The sequence below is a fragment of the Homo sapiens genome, chromosome 6 (genome assembly GCF_000001405.40).
Source record: "Homo sapiens chromosome 6, GRCh38.p14 Primary Assembly".
Lineage (NCBI taxonomy): Eukaryota > Metazoa > Chordata > Mammalia > Primates > Hominidae > Homo > Homo sapiens.
This window is the reverse complement of record NC_000006.12, coordinates 125009603-125027834: the sequence shown is the minus strand read 5'-3', so window position 1 is coordinate 125027834 and position 18232 is coordinate 125009603. Positions and strand designations below refer to the sequence as shown.

The 18232-nt window shown below is 37.1% G+C and overlaps 1 protein-coding gene across 13 annotated transcripts in view; it reads right to left on the bottom strand.

The window, feature by feature from the left end:
* The window catches only part of RNF217 (ring finger protein 217), a 130198-nt gene that overhangs the window by 64800 nt on the left and 47166 nt on the right, over positions 1-18232 (bottom strand). The window lies entirely within an intron of this gene.

Below are 18232 nucleotides of genomic sequence, written 5' to 3'. Positions count from 1 at the left end.
CCAAAAGACAGGCAATAACAAATACTGGTGAGGATATGGAGAAAAGGGAACCTTTGTACACTTTTGGTGGGAATGTAAATTAGTACAACCACTATGGACAACAGTTTGGAGGTTCCTCAAAAAACTGAAAATTGAGCTACCATATGATCCAGCAATCCCACTGCTGGGTATATACCCAAAAGAGAGGAAGTCAGTATATTGAAGAGATCTCTACACTTCTGTTTGTTGCAGCTCTGTTTACAACAGCTAAGATTTCGAAGCAACCTAAGTGTCCATCAACAGACAAATGGTAAAGAAAATGTGGTACATATACACAATGGAGTACTATTCAGCCATAAAAAAGAATGACATCCTGTCACTTGCAACAATATGGAGGAAATTGCAGATTATTCTGTTAGGTGAAATAAGCCAGGCAAAGAAAGACAAACATTGCATGTTCTCACTTATTTCTGGGATCTAAAAATCACATCAATTGAACTCACGGACATAGAGAGTAGAAGGATGGTTACTAGAGGCTGGGAAGGGTAGTTGGGCATTGGCGGGGAGGTAGGGATGGTTAATGGGTACAAAAAAGCCCAGGAAGAATGAATAAGACCTACTATTTGATAGCACAATAGGATCACTACAGTCAATAATAACTTAATTGTGTATTTTAAAATAACTTAATGTAATTGGATTTTTTGTAACTCAAAGGATAAATACTTGAGGGGATGGATACCTCATTCTCCATGATGTGCTTATCTCACACTGCATGCTTACATCAAAACAGCTCATATATTCCATAAATATATACACCTACTATGTACCCACAAAAATGTTAAAAAATAGTTTAAAAAATTTAAAAAAGAATGGTACAAATTATGTCATGTTCATTCAACAAATATAATAAACATTAATATATTAATATTAATATTTACTGTATCCAAAACACAATTACTCTTTGCATGTGAAAATAATACTACTCTATAACTAGTATATCACAGTTCATTTTAATTTGTTTTCATTTTTTTCATCCAGTAAGGGAGATGATTTGGGCAGATTTCACACCCCACTTGTCTTCCACAGGGTCAAGAGTCACACAGGGAAGCAGTGCAATTCTTGCAGAGTTTAAGGACTGAATATGCAACCTTCCCTACCTAAAAAAAGCTGACTTGTATAGCACCTAACTGTGATTCCCTTTTTTTTTTCTCAGAGAAATGTTTTAAATACTTGTTTCAAAGTTATCTTCCCCAAAACAGGAATACCTTTTGTCATTCTTTCTACACAGAAATGTGGAGTACTGATGACACGTTTACGCTCTCAATGCTCTAAAGGCTTGAATTGTATCATCCTAGAAATTTATCCTATTATCACAATAAACTTAATGATAATGATGACGATGATGATGATAGCAGCAGCTAACATTTGTTGAGCGTTTAGTATGTGCCAGGCACTATTCTAAGCATTTTCCATTGATTAACCTCAGTTACTCCTGATAAAGACCCTACCAGGATCCCAAGTACAGAATTAGTTTGCCCAAGGTCACCCAGAAAGAAAGTACTAAAGCTTTAATTCAATGTTAGTCACTGGCAGAGCCTGGACACATTGCCACTGTGTCACTGCAGATGTCTACCCAGGTTTTGCAAAACTGGCTGCTTAGAATAATAATGCCATGTTGCTAGCGGCCACTGAGAATTCTTAAGTACTTCATCAAAGGCAGGTAATACATTTTTGGATGTGATACTTTGAAAAGTACAAGCAGTCTAACTTTCATCTCCCTCAGTGCTGTGGACAAGCAGATGGTCTCCACGATCATATGGGCTATCATCACTGAGCAGCAACCTTCTCTGGGACCCTCTGGGGTGCTTCTTTCTTACCCATGAACCATTTCACCTCCCTCTTCAAGGCCTTACTCTTAACTTTTCCTTTCAACTGACCAATATGCACACAGTCAAAAACTTCACCTTGTACTTGACAGAATAAAAATCCAACAGGATCAGCTGAGAACACCTTCAACTTTCTGTTCCCCACTCATAAGAGAGTACATTTGTAAATATCCCTTCCTTCCTTCCTTCCTTCCCTCCCTCCCTCCCTCCCTCCTTCCCTTCCTCCCTCCCTAGAACACCTTCAACTTTCTGTTCCCCACTCATAAGGGAGTACATTTGGAAATATCCCTCCCTTCTTTCCTCACTCCCTCCCTTCCTTAGAACACCTTCAACTTTCTGTTCCCCACTCATAAGGGAGTACATTTGGAAATATCCCTCCCTCCCTCCCTCCCTTCCTTCTTTTCTTCCTTCCTTCCTTCCTTCCTTTGGAAATATCCCTTCCTCCCTCCCTCCTCGGTAGAAAGCAGGACTTTGCAAAATTTCTAGGATGATTATTTCCACCTGCCTTGTCAGGAATCTCACCTCCCTCTGCTAACTTCAGACACTCAAACTGATAAGCATGCTCAAGTTTCTCCCACTATAAAAGCAAAAGAAAACAAAAAACTCGTTAGGATTGTGTGCCTTGGTCTCCAGTCCTTATCATCTGTCCATTTGCAGCCAAGCCAAATGAAAGATTATTTAATGTTCTTGTGTTCACGTCCACATTAAAAAACCCACTGCTATCTGTCTCACCTCCTCCTTGAAATGACTTTCAGTCATTCTCTACAAAATTATCAATCACCTTCTGGTTACTAAATGTCCATTTGAATCCTTACTTTACTGCCTCCTTTGCAACATCTGACACTGTTGAGTTCTGTTTCTTTCTTGACCTCTAGCACATCACATTCCTGATTTTCCTGACTTCTTTCTGTCCCCTGTATCCTCCTTTGTGGATTTTCCCTGCATCTATCCTTTAAGGCTTCCTGAGTCTCTGAGGTTGCATTTATAATGGATTGTTCTCATTGGTTAATCTTTCTGAGGGTTAGTTACTCTTCCACTCCCATGGTTTCAACTCCACATATATATACAGTGCAAGCTCCCACATGTTAAAACACCAGTCCAGATCTCTATACTAAGCTTCTGATATCTACGTTTAATTCCCTACTTGATGTCTTCAGTCAAATACCTCAAACTCAACAGTCTAAAAACAAACTCATCACTTCCCATGTCCCCCTGACTGCCCACTTTCATTTTTTTTTTTTTTTTTTTTTGAGACAGAGTCTTACCCTGTCACCCAGGCTGGAGTGCAGTGGCATGATCTTGGCTCACTGCGACCTCTGCCTCCCGGGCTCAAGAGATTCTCTCGTGCCTCAGCCTCCCGAGTAGCTGGGATTACAGGCATGCACCGCTATGTCTGGCTAATTTTTGGTATTTTAGTGGAGACAGGATTTTACTGTGTTGCTCAGGGTGGTCTCGAACTCCTGAGCTCAGGTGATCCGCCTGCCTCAGCCTCCCAAAGTGCTGGGATTACAGGCGTGCACCACCATGCCTGGCTAATTTTTGGTATTTTAGTGGAGATGGGATTTTACCGTGTTGCTCAGGGTGGTCTCGAACTCCTGAGCTCAGGTGATCCGCCTGCCTCAGCCTCCCAAAGTGCTGGGATTACAGGCGTGAGCCACCGTGCCTGGCCTCCTTCATGTTCCTTATCATGAAAATGGCACAGAAAGCAAAGTAATATCCCCTCCCGACTTTTCTTCTGCTTCCTCTCTCCCTCAACCATCAACAAAATCCTACTTTATTAATTCTTCAAACAATCATTTACATCTTTTGATCTCCAATGCTACTTAGTCCAGGCTTTGGAGTACTCTTTGTTTCATTTTGTTTACCTCACATATTTATTTATTTGCAGTGAAAGTACTTAAAATCTACTCTCTTGGCAATTTTCAAGTATACAATGCATTGTTACTAACTATAGTCACCATACTGTACAATAGGTTGCTTGAACTTATTCCTCCTAACAGAAATTTTGCATGTCTTGAACAACATCTCCTTAGTCCTTTTCCCCCCATGCCCATCCCCTGGTAACCAACATTCTGCTTTCTGCTTCTATGAGTTTGACTTTTTAAGATTCCATATATAAAGGGGGACCATGTGGCATTTGTCTTTCTGTGCCTGGTCTATCCTACTCAACGTAATGTCCTCCAGGTTCATCCATATTGCTGCAAATGACAGTATTTCCTTCTTTCTAAAGACTGATTAACATCCCATTGTTAAATATACTAGATATTCTTTATCCACTCATCTATCAATGGGCACTTAGGTGGTTTCCATATCTTGGCTATTGTGAACAGGGCACAATGAGCATGGGAGTACAGATATCTCTTCAACATACTAATTTCATTTCCTTGAGATATAGATGCAATAGTGAGATTCTGGATCATCTGGCAGTTCTATTTTAAGTTTTTTGAGGATCCTCCATACTGTCTTCTGTAATGGCTGTACTACTTTACATTCCCACCAACAGTATACAAGGGTGCCCTCTTCTCTGGAGCACTCTTTTTACAACACAAGTCTGATCATACAACTCCACTAATTAAAATACTTCAATAATGCCCTTGTGTTCAGGATAAAGTGAAAACTCCCTCCATGTGAAAATGTGACCACTTTTCTGGACTCCCTTTTGCCCCATTGCAGGCTATGCCTCAATCATATTTGATTTTGCCTCTGGGCTCCTCCGCATGCTTTTGTTCTACCCAGGACATACTTTACACATATTTTTCTTGCTTAAATCCTTCAGGTCTTACCTCAGACATCAAATTCTTTTGGAAGCCTTTTGTAATACCTCAAAACTGTATCAGGTGATCCTTAACAAGACTTGCTCCTGTAGCAACCTGTGCTTATTCCTGTCATTTTTACTTATCCTATTCTAGCAAAATTGTTTGTTTTCCCTATTATCCTATAAATTCTTTGAGGGCAGAAACTGTGCCTTGTTTATTCTGGCATCTCTAATACCTTGCTCACTAACCTGACATAAAGTAGGTGCTTAAGAAATAATTGTTGAAATTCAAAAAGAGGTTAATAGAGATAGTGTGAGGTTTTTCTAAATAGTGATCTCTAGCTACAGAAAACTCAAGGTCAAGCAGGGACATAGGTGACAAAGGAGAGCACCAGACCACTAGTCCAAGGGACATAAATTAAAGGGAAGGAAGTGTGATTGTGTATGTTTGTTTTGTCTAGCGTGTAATGTGTAATTGTAAGTAGAAAAATCAGCATCCTGTTCTGGACTATTTTAAGGGGTTCATGGGGTAGGGAGAGATGACAGCCAAATTGGCCTTGATCACTGGTTTATAAGAAGATAAAAATGTTCAGTCTTAACTACCAGGGCAGAGGCCACATGTAGGCCAGAAGCCCAGCCTCCCTTAAAGGAACAACCACACCCCTGGCTGGTTGCAGTTCAGCTGTTGCACTCAATGTGCTAATTGAAAGAAAAAGGGCAGAGATGTAGAGAAGGAAAACCTTTCTGGCCCTGTCAGCCTGCTCATCCTTCCTAGTCCAACTTCCCCAGAGTTTCCTAGGCTGCTCAGGTGAAAGAACATTAATTGTTACTTATTTTTGTTAATGTGTTAATTTTCAAAACTGTTACTGCCTATAATTTCACTGAATTCGTACTGTATATAATGGAGCTATATAAATTTTACATAACTGTTGAATAATCTCTTCATGTTTTGAGGGAGAATAGAAATGTATTTTCTCCTATAAACCAAATAGATCTGCTGTGGGCCTCACTTGTTAGAACCAGTAAGAAAACAGGCCAGGCATGGTGGTGCAGGCCTGTAATCCCAGCACTTTGGGAGGCCAAGGTAGGTGGTCACCTAAGGTAAGGAGTTCGAGAGCAGCCTGGCCAACATGGTGAAACCCCATCTCTACTAAAAATAACACAAATTAGCCAGGTGTGGTGGTGCATGCTTGTGATCCCAGCTACTTGGGAGGCTGAGGCAGGAGAATGGCTTGAACCTGGGAGGCAGAAGTTGCAGTGAGCTGAGATCATGCCAGTGCACTCCAGCCTGGGTGACAGAGTGAGACTCCATCTCAAAAAAAGGGGGGAAGGCATGGGAAAGTGTTTAATGACAATCCTGGGAATGGCTGTTCTTACTTATTGAAGAGCACAATGTCTGATCTTCCTAGTCAATTTTTCAGTTATACAGGGAAAGTAAGGTCACCTGTGTTTGTACAGCTGATAAATGACTTTATAAAGGAAACTGGGAAAACAGAAAAATGGGGAAAAAATCAGGCTTTGTCTTACCATCCTAATACTACCAATATCAACATTTTCATATAAGTCCTTGTAGAATATATTTATTCTACATGTACTCTGAATTCAACTTGGTAACTTGCTTTTCCATGTAACATAAGGTAAGCATTTTCTGGCCGGGTGCAGTGGCTCACGCCTGTAATCCCAGCACTTTGGGAGGCCGAGGTGGGTAGATCACGAGGTCAGGAGTTCAAGACCAGCCTGGCCAAGATGGTGAAACCCCGTCTCTACTAAAAATACAAAAAATTAGTCGGGCATGGTGGCAGGCACCTGTAATCCCAGCTACTTGGGAGGCTGAGGCAGAGAATTGCTTGAATCCGGGAGGTACAGGTTGCAGTGAGCCAAGATCGCGCCATTGCACTCCAGCCTTGGTGACAGACCAAGACTCCGTCTCAAAAAAAAAAAAAAAAGCTTTTTCCATGTTATTACTGTCTATAATCATTGTTTCTGAACATTGTATAATACTTCAGAGAGTAGAGGAACCACAGTTAAACTCCACATGGAGGCTGTCTCCAACTTAATGCTATTATAAATAATGTGGGATGAATAACTTTTGCATAAAGTTCATTCTGTGTTTCCTTAGGGTAGATTCCCAGAACTGAAAATACTGGGTTAAAGTATCTGATTATTGTGAGACTTTTAACACATATTGCCAAACTGCTTTCTAAAAGCCATGTTTATTTACGTTCCATGATAGTAATTACAACTTGCCATGATGAATTCTATCATTTAGAAAAATAAGCATACAAATGAAAAAATACAAAAACCCTCCAAAACTTTTGCCTTTAATTTGATAAGGAAAAATGGCAATATTATTATTTTAATGCTTGTGTGTATCTTACTAATTGTAAGCTTTAATATATGTTAGAGTATTTATTTGTTGTTTTCCCCTCTTCTGTGAATGTTCTAGGCATGTGTTGATCTGTAATAGTCCATACATAGTATACAGTATTCATGGAGATTATATAATATTCTATGTGAGGTAAAAATAGTTTCCAACAAGACAAGCCAAAGCAATACGCCTTTATCTAGAATCCTACCCGGAACAGATGTTTACTTGGCAGCCCAGCTGCAGTAATTAACATCAGAAAGCAGGGCAATTTAAAAAAAAAAAGGCAACAACAACCAGATCTCACATCCATGAATCATGGTTCTATAAAGTCCCAAACCATCTGGATGACTAGGCTCCAGCCCGTCATTCTGAGAAAGACCTGCATGATAGAAGTAAAAACTAGGCGGACTTGTGAATACCAAATGCTCACAGAATATTGTTTGTCTGCCTCTAAAATCATTTCACATTCTCTACCCTTTTAATAACAGATATTGATTTGTCTCAAGCCCTCTTTCTCTGGATCATATACTTCTCATAGGCACATACCACATTCTATTTGTCTTGGCATCTTAGGGAACACCAGGACCCTGCCCTGCATACAGTAAGCACTTAGTATTTGTTTGTTGAAATACACTAAAATAGAATAATCAAGACCTTGGCAGACATCTGAGCCCAAGCCAGCGGGTGTCTGCGAATTGCAATGGTAGCTGTTTATCATTCTCGTGAACAGCTCTGTCTGAAGTTCTGCTGAGGGTGGGAAGTCTGGCACAGGGAACTCACGCCAGCAGCACTGCATGGGAAAAGCGGCACCAAGAGAGACCAGCACCTGGCCCCTTGAGACAGGCTGGATGCCTTCACAGCACCTGGAGTCCCTCGCCCAGGGTTACTGGGCTCTTCTCCACAAAGCTGACTAAGCTAAGAGGCAAACAGCAACTTTAATCTGTTGGGCAAAAATGGCAACATGTTATTTTAATATAAATTATTTTAATAAAGGATTTTTTCACTCCCCCCCCACTGCAAAAAAGGGGACATCAAGCAAGAGAGCAGGCAACATGGAATCCAGGAGGCCAAGGGCTTCAGTGTTGGAGAAATGTAGCAGGCCTAGCACCAGTAAGTGTTGGAGAAAGACAGAGGGCACCAGACAGTGTGCCTGTAAGAAGGAAAAAAATGGAACTTGAGAAACTAAATTATTCGTCTAATTTGGTGGAAAATGATCTTTGGAGAGGTTTATAATTCAAGTGGAGAGTAAAAGGTAATAAGGGTTAAAAATTAATTTGTAATTAGTATAGAAAGCTAAAAAATAAAAAGGGGAAAATTTAGGTTTAGGAATGTAATAGTCATATAAGAATAACATATATATTGTTAGACTCAGCAATAAAAAGTGTTGCTTATATAGTCACAGTATTCTAAATGTAGATTATTAATTAACAAAAAACTGTATGATAGCTATCGAGAGGATGGATGGAGGTGGGTAAAATGGTAAGAAAGATAGCAGAGTTGTAAGTTCTAATCTTTTGTAATAGGAAGTCAATCTCTAATGTAGGAGCATAAGTATATTTGGAAACATTAAGGTAATACCAAAATAAATAGCTACGATTGAAAAACAGATGATGACAGGTGATTTTCAAAGGAAGGGATTTTCAAATGGTGTACAACCTCCTCGTGGAGGTGTCATGAAATCTGCATTTAAGAGAGATGCAGTAGGAAGCTAACTGGAAGATCTGTGAGCCAGCCTCATTGGCTAATTGCATCTCTGTGATCAGAGGCAAGCGGGCTTTTTTACTGGGAGATCAAATGTCCCAAGCAGCAGTAACCTAGGATCTTTTCCTTGGGGCTGTACACTTTCCCCAGAGAAGAATCCTCAAGTTTTATGCCTGGAGGTGTATGTCCAGCTGTTAGTGCTGGAACATGTGGCCAAATGGAGTCCGGGGAGACTTACCACCCTTTATATGGATTCTCCATAGATTCCCTACTTTCAGTATGGTGCATCTATATCACCACACTGCAGTACCTCCAGTGCACACCTCCAGTCTTCATTACTCTGGGAGAGGGGTAGTCACCTAGTCATGGTCAAGAGAGGTGAGGAGGGTAGCATTCCTCTTCCTTATTTAGGTTTTCAACTAGTCCTACTACCATCTTTACCAAAGACTTTCTGAGATTCACTGGTGCACACTAGCCTCTTTATTGTTGATATTCCTTTTTTAATCGTCTAAGTTAACAAACAGATTTGCTAAGTCAGTTTATCCATCTATCCTTTTTTTTCCCTAAAAATAAATCTGATTTCTGGTTCACTGTTGGCTTTTCCTTTTCTCTCACTGTCTTTGTGAGTTAAAGCTCAAGTTTTATAAATGCTAATGTGTTTGAAAAGTCTTCAACAAACACAAACAAGATGCTATGTTTTCATCAAAAATCTTGTGCTCAAAGAGAACTGTCCCTTAAATAAAATGAGATCATTCTGTTGCAAAACTAAAGCCAAATTCTGAAGAAAATACTAGAAATAATTCTGTTTTCTTGCTCAATACCAGTGCCCCCTGGATTTCCATTAGTCACCTGATCTTATAAAAATAAAGATAATTGTTAACTTTCCTCAAATGAAAGGGGGAAGGCTTAAGTAAGAAATTATTTAAAACACTGTACAAGATACAGATATAAAACAGTGGCATTATATGATTCTACACTACCTCTAATTAATGCTAATTTGAAAGTAAGGAGCCCTCATACCATGTCTCTATAAAAAACATACAACTTTTCTTAAACAATTCCATGTTACCCTACCACAAATTATTGAATAGCTAGTGTTAGAAATGGATAGTTGTTACACTTATAAAAACTTTAAGTCAATTGATTATGTGCTACTAGAAGACTGGATGTAACCAAAATATTTTAAACGCATCAGAAAATGTGATTCGTGAAAATATGTGGTACCCTCTTTTATAAAGTGAATTCTTTCCCTTAGTATTGGCAATGCTATGTTTCATTTTGACCTTTCACCACTGCATATGTTAACCCATTTATTATGCTATGCTTGTATCAGAATAACTACTGAACACAGTTTGAATAGAAAGATTAAAATGACTAGTGCCCACAATAAAAAAATACAGTCAGTTAATATGTAATTATAACCTTCCAAAGTTAATGGCATTTAAATATACATAATTAAGAAAGGAATTTAATCCCTATTTTAATGATAGGGTTATAAGACTTGAGCTTAAAGGCCTATAGAACAGATAATCCTAGTATCAAGTGCAGAGAAATGTGAACACTTCTCATAATAAGATTATCTATACAGAAGTCTTCTTTCCCCAAGATAGGTTATCCTTGTTATTTTAGCCATTCATACACTTGTTTTGTATAGCTAATTTATAATTCCACAGAACAACCTTAAAGCAGCTTGTGACAATAGAGACAAATAAAGCTACCAAAGATGGAGAAGGAACAGCTGCCAGTTCATCAAAGAGCTAATACTGCTGATTCAAAAACCTTGCTTAGGACAACTACCAATTAATCCCCACATTTAACAGTTTCCCAGTGAAAAGGCAAATGAAAAATACAATATGGTGTATAACTGTTTTTGTTCAATAAAGAAAAATATAGTAACTCATTGGGCAAGAGGAAGTTTTCCATGCATAAAATTCTAAGGAAATTCATATGACTATTTACATAAAGCATATTGAAAGGCAGTGTCATAAAAAGTTTTCAAAACATATTTTCATATGACCATGTCTTTTTAAAAATTTTAAGTTGTACTCACAGCTACGATTTACTGCAGCAAAAGGGAAAAGAAGCAAAGAGAAAAGGTGCATGGGGCCAAGTCCAGAGGAAACCATTCCTTTTCATGGCTACGTAGTATCCCATGGAAAATACACCATTATTTTTTATACACTTCCTTATTGATTCTAATTTCCAACTATTTCTTTTTTATTATGCTTTATGTGATACATGTGCAGAACGTGCAGGATTGTTGGATAGGTATACGCGTGCCATGGCCGTTTGCTGCACCCATCAACCCATCATCTATATTAGGTATTACCTAATGTTATTCCTCCCCTTGCCCCCCACCCCCTCACAGGCCCCGGTGTGTGATGTTCCCCTCCCTGTGTCCACGTGTTGTCATTGTTCAGCTCCCACTTATGAGTGAGAACAGGTGGTGTTTGGTTTTCTGTTCCTGTGTTAGTTTGCAGAGAATGATGTTTCCAGCTTCATCCTTTTTTTTATGGCTGCACAGTATTCCGTGGTGTTTATGTGCCACATTTTCTTTAAAAGAAAACTTACAAAGAGAACTTTCTAAAAACTTTCTAAAAACAGCAGTCCCAACCCTGTTAATACTTTTCTGCACAGATTCCATTAAAAATAATGGAGGGACCATTAAATAATGGACTAAAATAATGGAATGGTCAATAATGACCCATTACATTGATTTCATATACCATCAAAGAGTCATGGCTCAATTCAAAACACAGCTTTAGTATATCCCACCTTTTTAAAAAATCTATTGACAATGTATTCCCCTCAAGCTTCTGATGTTTTTCTCTTCTCTCCTTCACGGTAAAATTCGAGTGCTCTAAATTTTGTCTTTACTTTCTTGCCTACAATTAGGTGTTTAATTTTTTGAGAAATTTCTTAAAGCCTGGAAAAGTACAAAGAATAATGAAAGAACCATATGCCTCTAGCAGTTATTAAGTTGTTACGTTTGCTTACAGACTTCATCTATCCATTTATTGAAGTCTCTTTTAACCAGACCCTTTCCCCCTTATATTCTCATTTCTTCTTCTAGTTGGTATCCAGTGTCATTAGATTCGTGGGCTTCCTTATATTTTTATGTACCAGTGAATCCATTGACATAACAGTAGACACATACTGCTCTGTATTGTGCTTTCTTCACACATTTTTTAAGATCTACTTATGCTGGTGAACAAAAATTTAATTTTTTTTGCTGAAATGCTACATTATATTCTATCCTATGAATATACCATATTTTATTAATCTAATCTCTAATTGCTGGACTTTGAAGTTGTTTCCAAATGTTAGTTCTTAGAAATAGTACAGCAATGAATGCCCCTTTACATGTTACATATGTGTGTGAATTAGAAGTAAAATTCTTGAGTTTTGAGAAGTCATGTCTCTTTTTACATTACTATTTTCTTTCAGAGCATATGAAAATGTAGAAAATAGAGAAAATATACTGGATGTAGCAATACCAATATATATACAATTATAATGTATATATATTAAAACGTAAGTAAAATAGTGATCATACTCTACATACTATCATAACTTGGCATTTATGTTTATTAGATCATAACCGCTTTTCTTTTCTAAAATAGCTTAAAGTTCCTCCATATACAGGCATCCTACTATTTATGTAACTAATCTCTACCATTCAGCGTTTAGAGTTTTCCATGTTTTCTCTACTATATTGTAGTGATTAATATCCTAGTGTATTTGTTTGTGGGCATTTCTGATTATTTTCGTAGAAAAACTTATAAAATGTGCTGACTTTACAAGTACGAACTTTTAAAAAGATGTCTTACAAAACCAATATATAGCCATGTTTTTAAAATCAATACATCTAATGAAGATATATTTTACAGGGGTGTAAAGTAATAGAGTTTAGGTATATAGCTTTCTGAAGATGTGACTTCAAACTATATAATATGTTCCTTTGCTTTCTTTTCTGGAATATCAACTATTTTAGGTGACTTTCAGATAAAAACCAGATAGCATACACATTGGTATCAATGAAACTTCTAAGTGATTGCTAAGTGTTAGGTGGAAGTCTATATACTTCAGACATGAAGTAAGTAGCTAAATGGCAATGTTGCTGGCTTTCTGGGAAAATAAAAACACATATTTAAATATATTTACACAACACAGGACCAGTGCATCTCAGTGTACAGGTGGCCTGAAGAGGATTTTGAGCAGGGTCAACATGGTTTATTAGGAAGGGGCTTTGGGTTTGCTCAAAAGTTCAGTCAAGCACATGCATGACTGAGTCCCTAACAATACTACACTAAAGTACAAAAGAGATATCTTGACATTAAATGGTATTAATTTTTATTTTTAAAAATAACTTCCTTTCATCACAAAAATGAGTTCATGGGAAGATTGTATCCCAGGTAAATGAATGAATCACTGGGAGAAGGAAGTTTTCATACTATCAGAATGTTAAGACTCTAACCCATGAGAAAAGTTTGGTTTTAGTGTGTGTGATTTTGAACTGCTTCTGACCATAATTGGCTAAAAGATTCAGTTATCTCTGGAGGCTGATTACTCCAGCTACAGTGAGATGATGCAATCATCACAGAGATGGATTCATAGCTCATTTCCTGCATCAGAAAGGCATATACACTGTTTGAACAATAGCTGTACCAAATAACTTAATGATAACATTAAATAAGAGGAAAGCAGAGCTTGATATCAATTATAATTTGATTTTTCTCTCTGTAATTCAGTTTCCTCATCTACATATACCTCACAGAATTGTACCGAGGCTGTGGTGAGCTAATCCATGCAAGGCATTTAGAGTACAGCCTGGAATTTAGAGCAGTACAAACTCAATAACTGTGAGTGATTGCTATCACTATTTCCAAAATCTCTTCCCATCTACTCTATGGTGGTATTTTGATAAAGGCATGCAAGAGCTTTCAATCTATTCCAGGATCACTTGATTTAGTTAATGACCATCCATTCTGACCAACTCCAGGGAAAACAATGTAAATGGTGCTACCTGAGGTTGTCTAAGCAAACAGCATCCTCTGTATGTGTGTACACACTAGCCCTGAATGAAATCCAGAGTCAGTTCCCATTCAGAGAACAACAGGCAGACAAATAAAAATCTTAAATAAAATAAATTTCTTTTATAAACAGAGACAGGATGACAGTATAACTTGCACATGTAGTCAGCGGGGCATTATGTTTCTAGGATTTATGTTAACACATTTCATAAATTAATAAATAAGAACTGCTTTTATTGTTGCTGCTGTTACATGTCCTTTGCCTTAGAAACATCACTCAGTAGGTACATGACAGAAGAATGGGGATTTGGAAATAGATCTGCTAGACTAAAAATCTTGTGCTCTTTCTGGTTACCACTCAGTGAGATGACACAATGAATGACTGGGATGTAATTGATATATATGGAGTATTCTTGGTATTATATATCCATTTTCTCAGAATTCACATACTTCTCTTTTACTGTGCTATTTAACATGAATTAGATATGGTAGCTGAATACGAACTCTATAAGTCTTTACTAAAAGAAAACAGCCAAAGCTTTCAGACTACTTTTTTTTTTTTCCCAGACATATTCTGGCCTCAGGGCTGTGGTACCTGCTTGACCTTCTCCCTGGAAAGCTCCCCCTCTAGATGTTTCATGACTCATTTTCTTGCATCATTCAGGTCTCTTATGAACATCCCCTCATCAATGAACCGTTCCACGACCATGCTCTCAAAAACAGCACACACACACACACACACACACACACACACACACACATACACAAAACATGCAAGCACCTACCTTTCTTTTTGGCCTATTCCTACCCTTCCTCTTATGTTAGCTTTGTTTTTCTGGTAATATTAACCATTATCACCCCTGTCCTGTTATGTATATTTGTTTATTACCTGTTTCTTCTCACTAAATTATAATCTCCAAAAAACAGGGACTCATTTTGGTTAACTGCTATATCCCCAGAACCATGAACAGTTTATAATACATGAATAGGTGAATATATTGTTTCATACTGAAACAATGAAAAAAAATCAGAACTAAATGTCAATTATTTCAAGTATGTTTCAATTCTTTTCTTCTTATGGGCATTGAAGAAGAATCAAGATAGAAATGCTAACTTTCTGGAAATAAACATTTAATATTCTATATCTGAAAAACTACCCATGAAAAAGACTGGGTTGTTCAAAGATATTTTACTAGAAGTTCTGAAAATATACCTTCAATTTAAGGAGTTATGAAATAAGGATTTGAAAAGGAAGTGGAATATAGTGATCAAAACATAAGCATATAAATAAGAAATTCAAAGATGAACACAGATTTGCTAGCAAAGCCAAAAATCAAATCAAATTAAAGCATCACATCTACTTTATTCAAATATTAGTGACACTTGCACATTACAAAAGTAAAATATAACTTTAACTCCCAAGGCTGTCTGCTACCATATTATGCTAAGGAGCACCAAAGGAAAACATAGGAACAAATTCATGAAAATTCTGCATAGAATAAATTTCTGCAAAACACAAAACTAATGCTTTCTAAGAATATGTCAAATATTCTGGTTATAAATCCACCATTATCAATGAGGTTCACGTTAAATTATAATCATGCAAATATATTTTAAACAGAAGATCCAAAGTAGTATAAACAATTGTGAACCATTACCCAAAAATGGGTATATTCAGTGGGCATATATAAAATGGGTATACATAAAAACACACTGTAGACATGACGGAGTACCTTTAAAGTATCCATTGTACATATCTCAAATTCATCAGTAAATGTTAATTTGCAAAAACTATCCAAATTCTGTCATATAAGCTGTTCAAACTGAAACATAGTCATTCTGTTGTGCTTACCAGGATAGCTCTTAGCAATGCTTTCATTTTTAGTATTGTATATGCTATATTTTAAATATTTGGAAACATTTAAAGTGCTTCAATTCCTTCCTATTCCTTCATAGTTTTTTATTCCTTGGTAGTTTCTTATTGTTTCTTTTTAAGTATCTTTTTCTTTTGCGAGACTACATATCAAACTACCTCTGACTATCTCTTTCATTTAATCTAAGGCTTTTAATTAGATTCAGTATATATTTGTTCAATGAGTATCCTTTTAAAAGTAGAAAGTGGCTTTTGATTTTAAAGATGCATCTGGCCAGCCCCTCCTGGTGGGGACTCCAAATCACACTAAAATGCATATGAAGACAGAGGAAAGAGTCAAGAACTCAGCACCAAAAACTAGGGCTGGCAGTTATTATCTCACCGAGAAGAGTTTCTTTGAACATCACAGCTGATCAAAGTAGATACAGAGGAAAATGAGCAAAGAAAAGAAAAGTGAAATGCAATGAAAAGTAAAGAACTAGATGGGAAAATTCCATGAAAGAAATAATACTGGGTTCCTAGTAAATCATTTTTAAAAAAATTAAAGGTGACTTTTTTAGAACCTGACACTCCTTGCTCTCTCATATAAAACTATGGGATCTAATCCAATTAAAAATGTATCTACACTAATGTCAGTAGATGCTTTCAGACATTAACCGAGTGATTTTTTTCCAAGTAATTATATTTAAAAATTGTTAACAAGGCAAAAATAATAGATCAAGAAACTGAAAATCATGAGGTGAGATGAACAAAGTAGGGGGCTCTGGAATTGGAGCATGCTGGGTCTAAAACCCAATTGAACACGTATCTGGCCCAATAAGTGATTGTCTATCCTCGCTGAGCCTTCAGTTTCTGATTTTCCAGGTGAATATGATAATGCCAAATTTGTCAGGCTGTAATAAAAGAAGATGGCACCTGGCACATAGCAAATACATAATAAATGATGGCCATTATTATTACCTATATCATTGGAGGTGAGAGCCAATTACATGTAATATTTATTTGCTTTCAGTCTTTAGCTTTCTACTGTCCCTAAAGGTTAAAATTATTATGGAGTCAGCCTTAGACAAAACTTTAAAAGAAGAAAAACTTATCTTTGGAGTTCTTCTTCCTTCCCTTTTAACGGCTCCATTTCTTTTCTTAACATTCTTGGTACCCTATACCACCACCATACTACCTTCAAAACGATTGCTTTCCAAAGTGATGTAAGAAATCTAAAGAGTCAGTGCTAATGTGTCTGGCATGCTAGTGGCTTAGTGTGTCAACCTTCTCAGGTTATAACTGAATTCAACCCCGTCTTTTTGAAGGTACATCTTAACTGAAATTTTGAGTATTTAACTGCAGAATTTTAGGTACCGTGGTAGACCTGGGAGGGCTGGACTTTGGAGCTGGCAGACCTTAGATCATTCCTCAGCTCTCTCTGCTACACCCAGGCACAGCAGCATCAGGGAGACTACTAAATGCACATGAACCCCAGAGTCCTTGGTTTAACCTGTGGGTAATAGGGTAGTAGGCACAAAGAAGCAAAAAAGTACCCTTTCTGTAAATTTTGCCTAAAGCATTAAGTAGAATAGGTAGTTTATTAGTAAATTGTAAAGATCTATTTTTTTAACACAACGAACTATTTTTATTGCATAAAATAAACTTAAGCTTGTTTAAACTGAAGCACATTTAAACAAAACTTCCTGGAGATTTAATGTGAAACTGTTTGCATCAGAAGAAGTGGAAATTGGTATAGACATCCAAATCTGCCAAACACAATGCTCCTTTGAGCTATTTCATGAATTGCTTGTTTAGAAGAGAATTACAGTAAGGCAGATATCTTATTATAACTTCTTACATCAAGTCACTTCATGCATTATACCTAAAAAGCACATTATAATGAGAAGAATCAATTGAAACTAAAATTGAACATATTTGATCACTAATAAATGAGAATAAAATAGACAAAAACATGGTAAATTATTATACTCTGGCAATTCTTAAGAGGAAATAATTACCAGTCACACTGAGCAGCCCAGTATCTGCACCTTAACAACACTATCTTCATTCCTTTAGAGCAAAATACTGAACGAGCATAATGTAAGAAAACGTTCATTTCAGTTACATGAAATGGATCAAATGCAGAGAACAGGCAGTACACCCTGAAGATGCTGGCCAACTGCAGTCTTCTCTTCCCCTTTTCTCTGTGGAAGCCAAATCTGCTGTCTGAAGACCTGTCTGACCCTCAGATTTAGTAAAAAAAAAAAAAAAAGAATGCTAAGCTGTCTTCAATTCACATTAGCAAAAGGGAACAGAAAACGACAAGCATGAACCAAAAAACTATTTTCTGAAACTAGTCTAAAATAGCTGAAGCAATATGGGAATCTGAACATTTTTAAAGATTGTGTAATATAACATGGGTCAGGTTAACTGGAAATAAAATTGAGATGATATAAATAGTTTTTGCTGAAAGTTCTCCCAACGAATGTGCACGGAGATGGAATGCAGCTTGTCAGCAGTTTATCTCTGATACTAGTTAGGAGAGCAAAGCTTTGATATCTGTCTACGTTTTTAGAGGGATCATACAACAGAGGTTAAAAAAAATAGAAAGAAAAGGAAGGAAGGGCAGGAGGGAGAAAGGGAGGGAAAGGAAGG